Here is a 17674-nt window from a genome sequence, read left to right on the forward strand (position 1 = left end):
CACTCCATTCTAGGTGACAGAGTGAGACCCTGTCTCAAAAACAAAACAAAACAAAACAAAACAAAAAAACCAGTAGATAACATAGGGGAAAAGCTTCAAGGTATTGGATTTGGCAATGGTTTCTTAGACATGACACCAAAAGCACAGGCACAAAAGATAAATTGGACTATGTGAGAGTTAAACACTTCTATATATGAAAGGAGAATATTTTCCCAGAATTTTCATCCCTCCTTTAAAATTTTCCATTCTAAACACTATAAATATATAAATGTTTCATGCAAATATTTTCTCCCATTCTGTGGGTTGCCTTCTTACTCTGTTTTTTTCCCAAAGTAACCACTCTGTCAGAGTACAATCAACAGAGTGAGAAGGCAACCCACAGAACGGGAGAAAATATTTACAAATCACATAGATGATAAGAGTTTGTTTGTTTGTTTGTTTTTTGAGACAGTCTCGCTCTGTCACCCAGGCTAAAGTGCAGTGGCACAATCTTGGCTCACTGTAGCCTCTGCCTCCCAGGTTCAAGTGATTCTTCTGCCTCAGCCTCCCAAGTAGCTGGGATTACAGGTGCATGCCACCACACTTGGCTAATTTTTTTTTGTATTTTTAGTAGAGATGGTGTTTCACCATGTTGGCCAGGCTGGTCTCGAACTCCTGACTTCAGGTGATCCACCCACTTCGGCCTCCCAAAGTGCTGGGATTACGGGTGTGAGTCACCACGCCCAGCCCTCCCGATAAGAGTTTAATATCTGGAATATATAAAGAAATTTTTCAACTCAATAACAAAAAACAATTAAAAATGGGCAAAGGACTTTCATAGACACCTCTCCAAAGAAGATATACGCATGGCCAATAAGCACATGACAAGATGCTCAATATCACTAATCATTAGAGAAATCCAAATCAAACCTGCAGTGAGATACTACCTCCCACCCGTTAGAATGGCTAGTATCAAATAAACAGAAAATAAGTACCGGTGAGGGTGTGGAGAAGCTGGAACCCTTGTGCACAGTTGGTAGGAATATAAAATGATGTGGTTACTTTGGAAAAAACAGTATGATGGTCCCTCAAAAACTTAAAAGTAGAATTACATAGTAACCTTAGAAAGTTGGTAATTCTGATATGTGCTATATAACACAGATGAATCTTGAGGACATTATGCTAGGTTATAAGCCAGGCGCAAAAGGACAAATACTGTACGATTCCACTTATATGAGGTACCTGGAGTAGTCAGACTGATAGAGACAGAAACTAGATTGGTGGTTGCCAGGGGCAGAGAGGAAGGGGAATGAGGAGTTATTGCTTCAAGAATACAAAGTTTCACTTTTTAAGATGAAAGGTTTTCTGGAGGTAGATGGTGGTGATGGTAGCAGGAAAATGCAAATGTATTTAATACCACTGAACTGTACATTTAAAAATGGTTAAGATGGTAAATTTTATACGCGTTTTACCACAAGTAAAACATACACAAAACAAATCAGTATTTATAATGAAAAACTTAAAAGGAGGGTTGTGGCCAGGTGCAGTGGCTCACACCTGTAATCCCAGCACTTTGGGATGCTGAGGTGGGTGGATCACCTGAGGTCAGGAGTTCGAGACCAGCCTGGCCAACATAGTGAAACCCCGTCTCTACTAAAAATACAAAAATTAGCCAAGTGTGGTAGCACGCGCCTGTAATCCCAGCTACTTGAGAGGCTGAGGCAGGAGAATCACTTGAACACAGGAGATGGAGGTTGCAGTGAGCTGAGATCACGCCACTGCACTCTAGCCTGGGTGACAGAGTGAGACTCTCTCTCAAAAATAAATAAATAAATAAATAAAATAAAAAAGGAGGTATGAAAATTCTGGGAAATGAATGCATGGTAAAAATGAAAGTTAAGTGAAGTGTTAATCGTAGGAGAAGTGAAGTATTTTATGTATTTTAGGTCTTTATTCTGATTTCTGAATACAGCTGTCTGAATGAATGACAGAATTAATTAATAGTATAAAACCTGCTAGACACAAAGTAGAAATATTATTCAGCTTGTCATGGTGATAAGCCGAAAAGTACCCAATAACAAACTGATTTTTATTATAATTATTTTCATGATTCCCTTCTGGATTCCCAGGATGTTTTCCATTTCTGTCTTGCTCAATATAACACAAAACTGGTCAAAATAGTTTTTGGCCAGGTACAGTGGTGCGCACCTATAGTCCATCCACTCAGGAGAAAATAAGTTTATGATGAATTAAAATATTAACACAGTTAATATCTTAAAGATGGTGAAAAACTAAATTCATATTGAATGTGATTCACTTGAAAGAAAGAGTTGAAAGAAGAGTGTCAGAGTAGTCCTAATGTATAAGAAAATTAGTTAGAAATTTGGCCTTCCTAGCGATGGAAAAAGGAGCACTATACATGCACTTTTTGAAAAATTTTGCCTGATGTTTCATGTTTACTACTAATAAACTAGAAAGCAATTGTATATGATCCTGTATATTGAATTGTTACAGTGGGCCAATGATAGAAAATTTTGTAAGGACCTAAGGGTTTTTCGTGTCTCTGTCTCCTTCAGTTCGGCTCTGATCTTAGTTATTTCTTGTCTTCTGCTAGGTTTTGAATTTGTTTGCTCTTGCTTCTCTAGTTCTTTTAATTGTGATGTTAGGGTGTCGATTTTAGATCTTTCCTCCTTTCTCCTGTGGGCATTTAGTGCTATAAATTTCCCTTTAAACACTACTTTAGCTGTATCCCAGAGATTCTGGTACATTGTGTCTTTGTTCTCATTGGTTTCAAAGAACTTATTTATTTGTGCCTTAATTTTGTTATTTACCCAGTAGTCATTCAGGAGCAGGTTGTTCAGTTTCCATGTAGTTGTGCGGTTTCGAATGAGTTTCTTAATCCTGAGTTCTAATTTGATTGCATTGTGGTCTGAGAGACTGTTTGTTACGATTTCCATTCTTTTGCATTTGCTGAGGAGTGTTTTACTTCCAATTAGGTGGTCAATTTTTGAATAAGTTCCATGTGGTGCTGAGAAGAATGTATATTCTGTTGATTTGGGGTGTAGAGTTCTGTAGATGTCTGTTAGGTCTGCTTGGTCCAGAGTTGAGTTCAAGTCCTGAATATCCTTGTTAATTTTCTGTCTCATTGATCTAATATTGACAGTGGGGTTGTTAAAATCTCCCACTATTATTGTATGGGAGTCTAAGTCTCTTTTTAGGTCTCTAAGAACTTGCTTTATGAATCTGTGTGCTCCTGTATTGGGTTCATATATATTTAGGATAGTTAGCCCTTCTTGTTGCATTGATCCCTTTACTACCAGGCCTGCCTTACAAGAGCTCCTGAAGGAAGCACTAAATATGGAAAGGAAAAACCAGTACCAGCCACTGCAAAAACATACCAAATTGTAAAGTCCATCAACACTATGAAGAAACTGCATCAACTAATGGGCAAAATAACCAGCTAGCATTATAATGACAGGATCAAATTCACACATAACAATATTAACCTTAAATGTAAACGGGCTAAATGCCCCAATTAAAAGACACAGACTGGCAAATTGGATAGAGTGAAGAGCCAACAGTGTGCTGTATTCAGGAGACCCATCTCACATGCAAAGACACACATAGGCTAAAAATAAAGGGATGGAGGAAGATGCACTGGTTTTTCCTCATCTTTATGGATTTATCTACCTTTTGTCTTTGATGTTGGTGACCTTCGGATGGGGTTTTTGTGTGGACCTCCTTTTTATTGATGTTGATGCTGATGCTGTTCCTTTCTGTTTGTTAGTTTTCCTTCTAACAGTCAGGCCCCTCTGCTGTAGGTCTGCTGGAGTTTGCTGGAGGTCCACTCCAGATCCTGTTTGACTGGGTATCACTAGCAGAGGCTGCAGAACAGCAAAGATTGCTGCCTGTTCCTTCCTCTGAAAGCTTCGTCCCAGAGGGGCACCTGCCAGATGCCAGCTGGAGCTCTCCTGTGTGATGTGTCTGTCAATCCCTGCGGGGGGGTGTCTCCCAGTCAGGAGGCATTGGGGTAAGGGACCCACTTGAGGAGGCAGTCTGTCCGTTAACAGAGCTGGAGTGCTGTGCTAGGAGATCTGCTGCTCTCTTCAGAGCCAGCAGGCAGGAACGCTTAAGTCTGCTGAAGCTGCGCCCACAGCTGCCCCTTCCCCCAGGTACTCTGTCCCAGGGAGATAGGAGTTTTATCTAGAAGCCCCTGAGTGGGGCTGCTGCCTTTCTTTCAGAGATGCCTTGCCTAGAGAGGAGGAATCTAGAGAGACAGTCTGGCGACAGCGGCTTTACCAAGCTGCCATGGCTTTGTTTATTCTCTGAGGGGAAAACCACCTACTCAAGCCTCAATAATGGTGGATGACCCTCCCTGCCAGGTTGACTTCAGACTGCTGTGCTGGCAGTGAGAATTTCAAGCCAGTGGATCTTAGCTTGCTGGGCTCCGTGGGGCTGGGATCCGCTGAGCAAGACCACTTGGCTCCTTGGCTTCAGCCCCGTTTCCAGGGGAGTGAATGGTTCTGTTTCGCTGGTGTTCCAGGCACCACTGGGGTATGAAAAAAAACTCCTGCAGCTAGCTTGGTGTCTGCCCAAACAGCCGCCCAGTTTTGTGCTTGAAACCCAGGGCCCTGGTGGTGTAGGCTTCCAAGGGAATCTTCTGGTCTGCGGGGTTGTGAAGACCGTGGGAAACGCTTAGTATCTGGGCTGAATAGCACTGCCCCTCCCTCATGGCACAGTCCTTCACGGCTTCCCTTGGCTAGGGGAGGGAGTTCCCTGACCCCTTGTGCTGCCCGGGTGAGGCAATGCCCCACCATGCTTTAGCTTGCCCTTTGTGGGCTGCACCCACTGTCTAACCAGTCCCAGTGAGATGAGCCGGGTACCTCAGTTGGAAATGCAGAAATCACCCACCTTCTGTGCTGATCTCGCGGGGAGCTACAGACCGGAGCTGTTCCTGTTTGGCCATCTTGCCAGCCACTTGAGAAAAATGTCTTTTTACTGTTTTTGACTTAAAGCTGTTTTATGTGATAACAGTATAGCTACTCCTGCTTATTTTTGGTTTCCATTTGGATGGAACAATTTTTTCCATCCCTTTACTTTCAGACTATTTGTGTCTTTAAGGGTGAAGTGTGTTTCTTGCAGGCAGCATATATTTGGGTCATATGTTTATTCAGTCAGCCAGCCTCCATCTTTTTATTTTATTTTATTTTATTTTTTTGAGACAGAGTCTCGCTCTGTCACCCAGGCTGGAGTGCAGTGGCGTGATCTAAGCTCACTGCAAGCTCTACCTCCCAGGTTCACGCCATTCTCCTGCCTCAGCCTCTCGAGTAGCTGGGACTACAGGCGCCTGCCACCACGCCCGGCTAATTTTTTATATTTTTAGTAGAGACAGGGTTTCACCGTGTTAGCCAGGATGGTCTCGATCTCCTGACCTTGTGATCCACCCGCCTCAGCCTCCCAAAGTGTTGGGATTACAGGGGTGAGCCACTGCACCTGGCCACCAGCTTCCATCTTTTAAGTGGAGCATTTAATCCATTTACATTCAGGGTTATTATTGATATATGAGGTTTTGTTCCTGTCATATCATTAATTGCTTTCTGTTTGTTTTATATGTTCCTTGTTCCTTCCTATTTTATATTGTTTATCTTTGTGGTTGGTGTTTTCCTTCAGTGGCAACATTAGAGTCTTTTCTGTTCCTCATTTGTGTGTTTGCCTTACCAGTAGGTTTTATACTTGCACGTGTTTTCATGATGGTGTATATTGTCCTTTTGCTTCCAGGTTTAGGACTCCCTTGAACATTTCTTATAGGGCGGATATGGTGGTAATGCATTCCACTGGTCAAATTCGGCGTTTGCTTGTCTGGGAAAGACTTTATTTCTCCTTCATTAATGAAGGATATTATTACTGGGTATAGTACCACTGAGTGGCAGTGTTTTTCTTTCAGCCCTTTGAAAATACGATTCCATTCTCTCCTGGTATGTGTGGTTTCTGCTAAGATGTCGACTGTTAGTCTGATGGGACTTCCTTTATAGATGACTAGATACTTTTCTCTTACAGTTTTTAAAACTCTGTATTTGGCTTTAGATAGTTTGACTATAATGTATCATGGAAGAGATACTGTTTTGCATTGAATCTGGTTGAGGATTTCTGGACCTTCTGTATCTGGATGTCTGTATCTCTCACTAGACTTGGGGAGTTTTCAGTTATTATGTCCTTAAATAGAGTTTCAAATCCTTTCATTATTTCTTTGCCTTTTGGGATACTGATAATCTTGATTTTTGGTTACTTTATTGTGTCCCATATATCATGAAAGCTTTCTTTATGTTTTAAAATTACTGAAAAATTTTTTTGTGTGACTGCATTATTTCAAAAGACTTCTCTTCATGCTTTGAGATTCTTTCTTCTGCTTGATCTAGTCTGTTGAAGCTTTTGAATGCATTTTGCATTTCATTCAGTGAATTCTTCATTCCAGAATGTGTCTGATTCTTTTTTATGATACCCATCTTTTTGGTAAATTTCTCATTTATATCCTTAATTGTCTTTCTGATTTTTTTGTGTTGTTTTTCAGATCACTCTTGTGTCTCACTATTATTAGTATCAAAATTTTTAGTTATTTTTCTGGAATGTGAATTTCTTTTGGATGGGATCTGTTGCTGCAGACTTATTGTATTCCTTTGGAGGTATCATATTCCCTTGCTTTTTCATGTTTCCTGTGTCCTTACGTTGATATTTGAACATGTAGGGTAATATTCGCTTCTTCCAATTTTAGAATTTGTTTTCATAGGGGAAGACTTTTTCCTGAAGATGTATCCATGCTGTTGGTTGGGTAGGACCCTTTGGCTTTGATTCTGGGTGCATGTGGTAGTCACTGTATAGTGTAGTCACTGTATGATTTCTTTGGCTGTAAACAGTATCGGTGGTATCTGTGATTTCTTTAGTGGCTTAGGGTACTGTTATTAGTAGAGGCTGTAATGAGGTTTTCTGGGGACAAGGATGCCACATGGGCCACTCTTTGGGCCTAATGGTGGTAGTGGTGGGCTGAGTATGTCTGTCCTTGGGCCCCGGGGTTGCATGTGCTGACACTGATGTTAGTGGGTCCAGGTGAGTAAATTTAACAAAAGAAGTATAAAACTTGTATTGTGAAACAAACCATTGAAAAAAGAAATTAAGGAAAATCCAAATAAATGGAAAGTTTCTAATATTTGTGAATTGAAAAACTTAAGATGGCACTGCTTGCCTGTATTAGTCTGTTCTCACGCTGCTAATGAAGACATATCCAAGACTGGGTAGTTTATAAATGAAACAGCTTTAATGAACTCACAGTTCCATATGGCTGGGGAGGCCTCATAATCATGGCAGAAGATGAAGGAAGAGCAGAGGGACATCTTACATGCAGCAGGCAGGAGAGCGCTCTTGCAGGGGAACTCCCCTTTATAAAACCATCAGACCTCCTGAGACTTATTCACTATCACAGGAACCACACGGGGAAGACCCACCCCCGTGATTCAATTTCCTCCCACTGGGTCCTTCCCACACATGTGGGAATTATGGGAGCTACAATTCAAGATGCAATTTGGGTGGGGACACACCCAAATCATGTAATTCCCAAATTAGTCTAAAGATGCAACACAATTCCTGCCGAAGTCCAAGCTGTATTTTTATCAGAAATTGACAAGCTGATCCTAAAATTTGGAAAATATGGAAACTTAAGGGACCCAGAATAGCCAAAGTAATCTAAACACACACACACACACACACAGACACACACGAAAAAACAAAAAAACACGCCAGTCACATTGGCTCAGACCTGTAATCCCAGCACTTTGGGAGGCCAAGGCAGGAGGATGACTTGAGCCCAAGAGTTCGAGACCAGCCTGAGAAATATAGTGAGGCCCCCATCTCTACAAAAAAGTTTTTTTTAGCTGATGGTGGTAGCATGTGCCTCTAGTCCCAGCTACCTAGAAGGCTGGGGTTGGAGGATAGCTTAAGCCCAGGAGGTGGAGGTTGCAGTGAGCTCTGATCACACCACTGCACTCCAGCCTGGGATACAGAGCAAAACTCTGTCTCAAAACCAACCAAACAAACAAACCCACAAAAATCCAGAATTGGATAAATCATATTTCCATCTTTCAGAAGTTACTACAAACAGCCTTGTAATCAAATACAGTGTAGTACTTGCAAAATGATTGTCATATAAATCAACAGAATAGAATTGAGAATCCAGAAATAAGCCCAAAAATATATGGTCAATTGATCTTTGACAAAGGTGCCAAAATAATTCAATGGTAAAAAGAATAATCTCTTCAACAAATGGTGTCGAAACACCTGGGTTCACATGTAAAGGAATGAAGTAGAAACCCTACCTCATATTGATTAGTATACAAAAATTAATCCAAAATGGATTGAAGACCTAAATATAAGAGGCAAAACATCTTTAAAAATAGATGAATTGTTCAACATCAAGATTAAAATGTTTGCTTCAAAGGACACTAACAGGAAATTGAAGACAAACCAGAGAATGGGAAAAAATATTTGCAAATGAAATTTTCAGTAAAGCACTTGTGTTTAAAATACATAAAGAACACTTACAACTTAACAATAAAAAACAGCCCACTCTAAAAATAGGCAAAAGATCTGAATAGACGTTTCTCCAAAGAATATATGCAATTGCCGGTAAGCACATATAGAGATGTTCTGCATCATAAGGCATGGAGGGATCCAGATGCAAATCAAAACCACAGTGAGATTGTCCTTTGTACCCACTACATAGCTCTACTTTAAAAAGTCAGGTAATAACAAGTGTTGGTAGGCCAGGTGCGGTGGCTCACGCCTGTAATCCCAGCACTTTGGGAGGCTGAGGCAGGTGGATCACGAGGTCAGGAGATGGAGACTGTCTTGGCTAACACAGTGAAACCCCGTCTCTACTAAAAATACAAAAACAAAATTAGCTGGGGCATGGTGATGGGCGCCTGTAGTCCCAGCTCCTTGGGAGGCTGAGGCAGGAGAATGGCATGAACCCGGGAGGTGGAGCTTGCAGTGAGCCGAGATCGCCACACTGCACTCCAGCCTGGGCGATAGAGCGAGACTCCGTCTCAAAAAAAAAAAAAAAAAAGTGTTGGCAAAGAGGTGGAGAAATTGAAACCTTCAAATGCTATTGGTGGGAACGTAAAAGGGTGCAGCTGCTTTGGAAAACAGGATGGCATTTCCTCAAATGGTTAAATATCTGGGTTATTCAGAACCTTGGCTCTGTTGTATCAGGAGTATTTAATCTTGAATATTTATATAAGTATTTATGTATTTCTTTATTACTATGGTGAATATATCTTACCTTTCAAATAATATTGAAGCAAGTTATTTCCCTGACCCCTTTGCGGGACCGCTTTGCCACGGGGTGCCTCCTTTAATCAGCCTATAGCTCTCAACTCCTTGTGGGAGGGAGCACACGAGCGAAGGAGGCGGGAACTGTAGTGCAGGAGCACTGGAACTGACCAGCCGTTTTGGCGCCAGTGGGATCAAACTCCACTCATTTGCACCTGTTGCCTTCCACACCTCGTAGGAGGGAGTGCACAGGTGAGTGGGTGCAGGAACCAGAGCAAGTGCTTTTGGGCGCCAGCAGGAGCGAACTCTGTGCAGGCCCCATGGCAGCATCCAGGAGGGGTGCCTGTGACTCCCAAAGCCCCAGAGGGCATGTTACAGTGCTCTTTTAGCTCTGCTCTCCACAGGCGGCTTAAGTGTTAACAGCTCAGTTGGCCTGCTGCTGCCCTCCACCAGCGAGGGCAAAGGGCCAGCGTAACAACCTTTTGTATCCACACACATGGCTCCTGAACTCTTGTCTGGTGTCCAGGAAAAATGAGGTCACACGAACTAATTGAAGGATGGTAAATGCAGGAATGATTTTATTGCCGATGAAAGTGGCTCTCAGTGGGAAGAGAGGGGAGCTGAAAAGGGGACAGAGGAGGGGTAGGTGATCTTCCCCTGAAGTCCGGCTGGATTTTCTCCGGTTACTCCATCAAGCTGTCCCTCTGAAGTCAAGTCCCTTCTCTCCAACATTCAGCTGCTTCTCCTCTCTGCTGATTGAGTCTGGGGTCTTTATAGGCACAGGATGAGGTGGGGTGGGGCCATGGGTAGTTTAGGAAAAGGCAACATTTGAGCTGGAAAACAGGGAGAGAAGTTCTCACTTTGGGCCACGGTCTCAGGCTTTTCAGCTTGAGGGTGGAACTTCACCAGGGACCCACACCTGTCTGCCTAGAATTTCTCTGCCTCCTGTCTCTATCATTGTATCAATATCAAACAATAGTTGTTGGCCTACATGTCAGTAATTTAAAGATGAATTAAATGGTTATATATGATAACATTTATCAGAGACCTTTAGAAACATTCATATTCTTTGGTCTACTATTTTTACTTCTAGAACATATTCCAAGCAAGCAATGAAAAATCGCTAATTCAACATATAATATTTTGTCAGGGAAAAAATAAATTAAAGGCAGTTGGGCTTGGAGATATCCATGTAAACAATCTGTACTTATAAGGGAAGGCAGAGTTGGAAGTAATTAAAATAATGTAATAAATGCATTAATAGAGGTGTCATCAACCAGTTAAATCTATGAGAAAGAAAGAAAGGCACTCAACTGCTTGGGGGAAGGGAAGGATCTGGGGGAAGATGAAAGAAGTTCCTCTTGGGGGAGATGACTGATGAGTCACAGCTTAGAACATATTTTTTAGTATATATAAGCCAGAACTTGCCTCAAAATTATTGTATAAATAAATGAGGAAAAACATTAGAATGTGGTAGCATGGGGGAGAGCACCTCAGTCCCCCAAGTAGCTGAGACTACAGGGGCATGCTACCATGTCTGGCTAATTTTTATATTTTTTGTAGTGACAGGGTTTTCGCCATGTTGCCTAGGCTGGTCTTGAACTCCTGGGTTCAAGCCATCTGCCCACCTTGGCCTCTCAAAGTGCTGGGATTACAGGCATGAGCCACCGTGCCCAGCCTGTGATTTCAAGTTTTATCCAAGCAATATTTTTTGAGAGCAATATAAGATTTGAGACTGGGTGCGTGGCTCACGCCTGTAATCCCAGCACATTGAGAGGCTAAGGCGGGAGGATCACTTGAGCCCAGGAGGTCTAGACCAGCCCTGGCAACAAAAAAAATTTTATATGATTAGCCGGTCATGGTGATACACGCCTGTAGCCTCAGCTACTCAGGAGGCCCAAGGGGGAAGATGCTTTGAGCCTGGGAGATTGAGGCTGCAGTGAGCCATGATTGCACCACTGCACTCTAGCCTGGGTGAGAGTGAAATCCTGGACCCCGTGTCGAAAAAAAAAAATAAAGATTTGAGATAGGTAAGCTTTTGTGTACAAGAGAGTTTGTGCTACATTTTGTTTTCTTTATAATGTTTGTTTTGGTTGATGCAAAATTGTTTCATCTTAGATGCTTGAGGTGGAAGGAGGGAATTGTTTTGTAGTATTCATATAATTGAAATTACCACCCTATATTTTTCTCCTCAAAGAAAGAATATGGTGATGAACTAAGAATAGAAAATAATAACTACATATGGATGCATAATAAGAAATAATTATATACGCATTGTTTGACGTTTTCCTTCTCTGCTATAACTCACCCTTTTTCCTTTGTTCTACCACCATATGTTTTGTTCTGGATTTCTTGACTAAGAAAACATTCCACCATAGTTTATTTTAATATTTAAAGAGCACTTTGAAAGTTTGATTTTTTTTTTTTTTTTTGAGACAGAGCTCACTCTGTTGCCCAGGCAGGAGTGCAGAGGCACAATCTTGGCTCACTGCAACTTCCACCTCCCAAGTTCAAGTTATTCTCATGGCTCAGCTTCCCGAGTAGCTGGGATTACAGGCACGTGCCACCACGCCTGGTTAATTTTTGTAGTTTAAGTAGAGACGGGGTTTCACCCTGTTGGCCAGGCTGATCTCGAACTCCTCACCTCAGGTGATCTGCCCGCTTCAGCCTCCCAAAGTTTTGGGATTACAGGCGTGAACCACTGTGCCTGGCCAAAAATTCAATTTTAAGTAAATCTGTTTAAATGTTTTTGTGTAACGTTTTCATAAAAATGAAAAATTCGATGAACTTAGAATATGCCAAGAATCTTCTGCACAAAATAATAACTTTGTGTTCTCAAATAGTAATATAAAGAATCTGTAATGTATCTTCATTAAGAATTTATACATGCATTTTACATCATAATCTCTTTTATTCTATGAATAGAGCATAATACTAAATTATGAAGTTACTGGAATTTTTATAGGAACATGATAAGAATCATGTGGTTCTTTTAAAGAGTTAATTTTGGAACATCTTTTGTTCAAAAAATAGAACATTATTATATGTATTCTTTTGCCTCTATTGTCAGTTTTTAGGATAGGCTTTTAATCTTGAACATGAAAAGGACATCAGTAAACAAGGTGAGTTAACTATTACATTTATGCCTATTATAGGCTTTTAGTTTAAAAATTACCTATGGCTTAAATACAGAGAAGGCAGACAGAAAAAGAACCTTTTTTTCCCTGAGCATTTTAAAGAGAATACTACAGTACCATTAGGGGTTTATAATAAAGGACTATAATTCTATTTAGAAAACTGACTTACAGTACATGACAAATGATAGAAAATTGAGGTAAGTTTTTTGAAGTCATATTTTATATTTATTTTTTATTTTTCATTAATTTGTCTTTTGCCAGAATTAAATGTTATGATCATTAAACTACTTCTCTTCTTAGGTAATTTTTTCACTTAGTCTTTCTACCCCTCTACCTTTAAAAAGTATACTGAACAAAGCAGCAAAAGATATTCTCTTTGAGGAAAATACCTTATTTTCTGTGAATAGTTTTTTAAAATTAAAACATAATGCATAAACATAGAAATTCTTTTACATTGGCAAGAACTTTTTCCTTGATAAAATTATTTTTCCATTTGAAAAATTATTAGGATAATAAGTCAAGATAATGCTTAAAAATGTAAAAATTTTCTGCAAAGAATGTAAAACTGTCGTAAGTGAAGCCAACAGGTAAGCCAAAAAACCAGAGAGAAAATTTGCAGTTCATTTTAGTCACAAAATAAGGGATGCCCTTCATATATGCAGAACTCTTACAAATCAATATGAAAATGAACAAAAGCCCTGGTAAAAAAATATTCAGAGACAGTTTACAGCAAAGGACATGTGGCTCCTGCACATATGATAAAAAGTGCTAAAAGCCACACACACATTCAAGTGAAAATCATGATGAGATACGATTTTCCATGCACATTTTGGCAAAAATGAAAAATGTGTTAATTCCGTTTTGTTTTGATTTTATTTATTTATTTTTTTTGAGACCAGGTCTTGCTCTGTTGCCCAGGCCGGAGTGCAGTGGCATGATCACGGCTGACTGCAACGTCGGCCTCCTAGGCTCCAGTGATCCTCCCACCTCAGGCTCCTGAATAGCTGAATAGTCAGCATGCCCAGCTCCTTTTTGTATTTTTTATAGAGACAGGGTTTCACCATGTTGCCCAGGCTGGTCTCGAACTCCTGGGCTGAAACAATCCACCTGCCTTGGCCTTCCAAAGTGCTGCAATTATAGGCATGAGCCACTGCACCTGGCCTCTTCCTAAGATTGTAGAAACGTAAGCTCTCAAACGCTGGTGGGAGTATAAATGGATATAACAACCTCCATGGAGAGCAATTTGACAAAATGAATTTATACTGTGTGTTATGTCCACCTGTAGGAGATGTGCAAGAATAGTCATGTTAGTATTATTTCTTAGAGCAGAAGACTGGAAAGAACTAGCAAAAGGTAGTGAAAAGGTAGCTCACTCCAAAAGTTTTGCTTAGGGTTCCAGAGTTCATAGTAATTTCATTTGTCCTAAAACATCACAGGACTATTTTAAAGAATACTATGTTTCTCCCTGCTATTGGTTTAAGGAAGAATGTCTAAAAGTAACTTACTGTACCAGTGTAACATGGTATCAAACTGCCTGTCAGACTGGAATAGTTAAATAAATATGATACATTCATAACATTGAAATACTGTGCAGCCTTTAAAAAGTTGAGAGTGTCTTCTATGTGCTGCTTTCTTTTTTTTTAAGACGGAATCTCGCTCTGTAGCCCAGGTTGGGGTGCTGGGGTGCAGTGGCGCGATCTCAGCTCACTGCAAGCTCTGCCTCCCAGGTTCACACCATTCTCCTGCCTCAGCCTCCTGAGTAGCTGGGACTACAGATGCCTGCCACCATGCCTGGCTAATTTTTTGTATTTTTAGTACAGACGTGGTTTCACTGTGTTAGCCAGGATGGTCTCCATCTCCTGACGTCGTGATCCACCCGCCTCGGCTTCCCAAGGTGCTGGGATTACAGGCGTGAGCCACCGCGCCCAGCCCTGTGTGCTGCTTTATCAAGTGACAGAGGCAAACGACATTCATTGGCATAAAAAAGAATGTGTGTGTTTGTGCTTGTGATATCCACAGAATATCTTTGGAAGGAGCCACAAGAAACTGGGACCCATGGTTGCCTGTGAGTTGGGGAGCTGGAGGGCTGACTCCATAACAAGTGAGAAGGATACATCTCTTAGATCATATCTTTTTAGTATTTTTTGAATTTTGAACCCTACATGTGTATTACCTATTTTTTTTAAAAAACATTTCAAAATTGTGCAGTGGAAGGGTCTGTAAGATGGAGCAGTGTTGAAATAATGGAGCCTTAATTACCTTTCAAGAAACTTCTGCAGTGACTTGGCCATCCGGGGAAGCAATCAGAAAAGCAGCTGGCTCATTAAATGGAGAGTGCTGGTCCCACAGGTGTAAGTACACAAAACGCAATCACTGAAATTCTTTGGCTAGCACTTCCAACTCGGAGACAGTTGCTGGAGATCACTTAATAGGCTCTGGTTACAGGTTGATCTAATCTGAATTAAGAAATTGGAAAAAGCAAAGAAAGAGCAGTAACATAGGTCAGAGTAAGGAAGCTGAGTCCGAACAGTTCCTCCACAGCCTCCTGTTTCCCCTTCTGTAGGTGTATGAACTACCCAGAGAGATTACTGTGAATGTAGAATAGTTGGAGAGATGTGTTTCCCAATAGCAAAAGGCAGTGTAAAGGTAGTTCACTCCAAAAGTTTTGCTTAGGGTTCCAGAGCTCATAGTAATTTCACTCGTCCTAAGACATCACAAGGCTATTTTAGAGAACAGTATGTTTTTCCTTACTCTTGGTTCAAGCAAGAACATCCAAAAGTAACCTGATGTACCAATGTGACTCCTTATCCCAAGCTAAAGAATATCCTTTCAAGGCAAATTCATCCAAATCAGCTTGACATCTGATGGGAGGGGGTTGGATAAACAAGGTTGTAGAGAAATCAAGTCTGAAGAGTAACCTTGCACAGCTTGATCTGTTTACTTTTTAAATGCAGGTTTGTTCAGTGGGTATCGCACTCTACTTTTGAAACATAGGACTAAATTTTCACAAAAATGTGAAGATCCTGCCCGTGTACTCTGGAAAATTGCTTGTCTAATTGGGTGCACAGCTGCACCTGTACCCTCTTGAATGACTCAGTCATGGTGTGCTCAAGGGCCAAGTAACTTGTTATGGTGCTAAGTGAAGAACAAAAATATATAAAATTCAGTTACTTTGGCAATGAAAAACACTGAATGGTATTGGTTGTTATATTACAGTTGGCAAATACTGTAATTAAGACTTCAAGTGATTTTTAGTATTAGCCCTGGATTCACTTTCTGAAGAATTTTATTTAGAATAAAACTTTCAGCGTTGATACCAGATAGTCACCTTTAGTTCAGTTCAGTTTCATAAATCTTTATAAAATATTTATAGTAGTCAAGGAGCCTATTACGGGTGCTAGTCAGGTTTCTGCAACAACAAAAAGTAAATTAAAGTTGGCTGGGTACAGTGGCTCACGCCTATAAGCCCAACAGTTTAAGAGGCTGAGGCAGGAGGATCGCTTGAGCCTGGGAGTTGGAGACCAGCCTGGGCAACATAGTGAGACCCTGTCTCTACAAAAAAAAATTAGCCAGGCATGGTGGCACATGTCTGTGGTCCCAGCTACTCAGGGGGCTAAGGTGGGAGGATCAAGTGAGCCTGGGAGGTCAAGGCTGCAGTGAGCTGTGATCGTGCCACTGCACTTTAGCCTGGGCAACAGAGTGAGACCCCATCTCAAAACAAACAAACAAAAAATGTAAAACTCACAAATTTAAAAAAGTTTTAAGACCAGGCGCAATGGCTCACGCCTGTAATCCCAGCACTTTGGGAGGCCGAGGTGGGCAGATCACCTGAGATCAGGAGTTGGAGACCAATCTGGCCAACATGGTGAAACCCAGTCTCTACTAAAGATGCAAAAATTAGCCAGGTGTGGTGGTGGTCACCTGTAGTCCCAGCTACTTGGGAGGCTGAGGCGGAGAATCGTTTGAACCTGGGAGGTAGAAGTTGCAGTGAGCCAAGATTGCAACATTGGACTCCAGCCTGGGTGACAAGAGTGAAACTCCGTCTTAAAAAATAAAAATAATTAAAAAGTTTTAAAATTCACTTTGGTATGATATTTTGACCCCTCAAAGTTGTTTATAAATAGAATGAACAGTGGAGCCATCTGTTAAAATGCCTTGGCTGAGTGACTCAGCTAGTAGATGAATTTTGACATATTTATAGCACCATGCATTGATCATTTTAGTTGTAATATAACAGCTGTTTATTGAGTACCTTTTATGACATAGGTCCTGGAGAACCAGTGGTAATCAAAAGAGATGATACATCTGACTTCTCACAGTGTCATCTGTTGAGGGGGACAAGGATGAAAGCTGTGTCAGTGAAGGAGGAAAATTGAGTGGTAACAGGGAGGGCAGGTGCTGTGGTGAGCATGTATGTAGCGGAGGCCCCGAACTGAACACGGAGGTGGTTAGGGGAGGCTTAGGAAGGAAATACTGGCCAGGCTGAGACCTACACAGGAGGTTTGGGGGAGGGTAGGGGAAGGAGTCAGAGTTTGAAGGCCTACATAAAAAGTAGATACAGCTATAAAGAACGAGATCATGTCCTTTTTAGGGACATGGATGGAGCTGGAAGTCATTATCCTTAGGAAACTAATGCAGGAACAGAAAACCAAATGCCGCATGTTCACATTTATAAGTGGGAGCTAAATAACAAGAACACATGGACACAAGGGAACAACACACTGGCGCCTACCAAAGGGTGGAGGGAGAAGATCAGGAAAAATAATGGATACTAGGCTTAATACCTAGGTGATGAAATAATCTGTACAAGAAACCCTCATGACACAAGTGTACCTATGTAACAAACCTGCACATGTATCCCTGAATGTAAAATAGAAGTTAAAGAAAAGAAAAACACACACACACCAAAAAAAAGCAGAAAGAGAACTAAGAAAGTTAATTGTGTCTGAAGCAAGAGAGAAGTTGTGTATGACTGCAGCACAGAAAGCTTGAAGTGTGGGACCTGGTGGCAGGCAGGGAGGGGGAAACGAGTGGTGAGATGGGAGGGGCAGGCCCCAGGGGAAGCAGCTGGGACCCGGCCATGTGAAAGTGCCAGCCCTGAACCTGGTCTGGATGTGTGTGGAGTGCAGTGGAGAGCCACAGAAGGCTTGCCTGCAGGGAGTCGGACAGAGTTGCCTGTTTGGGAGATCACTCTGCCTTCATGATGGAGAATAGGTTTGGAGAGGCAAGACTGGAGGAAG

The 17674-nt window shown here is 41.4% G+C and overlaps 1 protein-coding gene across 34 annotated transcripts in view; it reads left to right on the forward strand.

Annotated features, from left to right (window-relative positions):
* PCCA (propionyl-CoA carboxylase subunit alpha) overlaps positions 1 to 17674 on the forward strand; it is a 441343-nt gene that overhangs the window by 283223 nt on the left and 140446 nt on the right. Inside the window, exons 20-21 of one of the 34 annotated variants that reach the window (XM_047430374.1) lie at positions 14454 to 14535; positions 14702 to 14785. The exons of 32 other annotated variants lie outside the window; for them this stretch is intronic. In XM_047430374.1, the coding sequence (XP_047286330.1) occupies positions 14454 to 14535; positions 14702 to 14785 (166 nt within the window). Of the gene's footprint in view, positions 1 to 14453; positions 14536 to 14642; positions 14786 to 17674 lie in introns of those variants that run through there. One more of the 34 variants, XM_017020615.2, reaches the window with a different exon arrangement.

This window comes from Homo sapiens, chromosome 13 (assembly GCF_000001405.40).
Source record: "Homo sapiens chromosome 13, GRCh38.p14 Primary Assembly".
Lineage (NCBI taxonomy): Eukaryota > Metazoa > Chordata > Mammalia > Primates > Hominidae > Homo > Homo sapiens.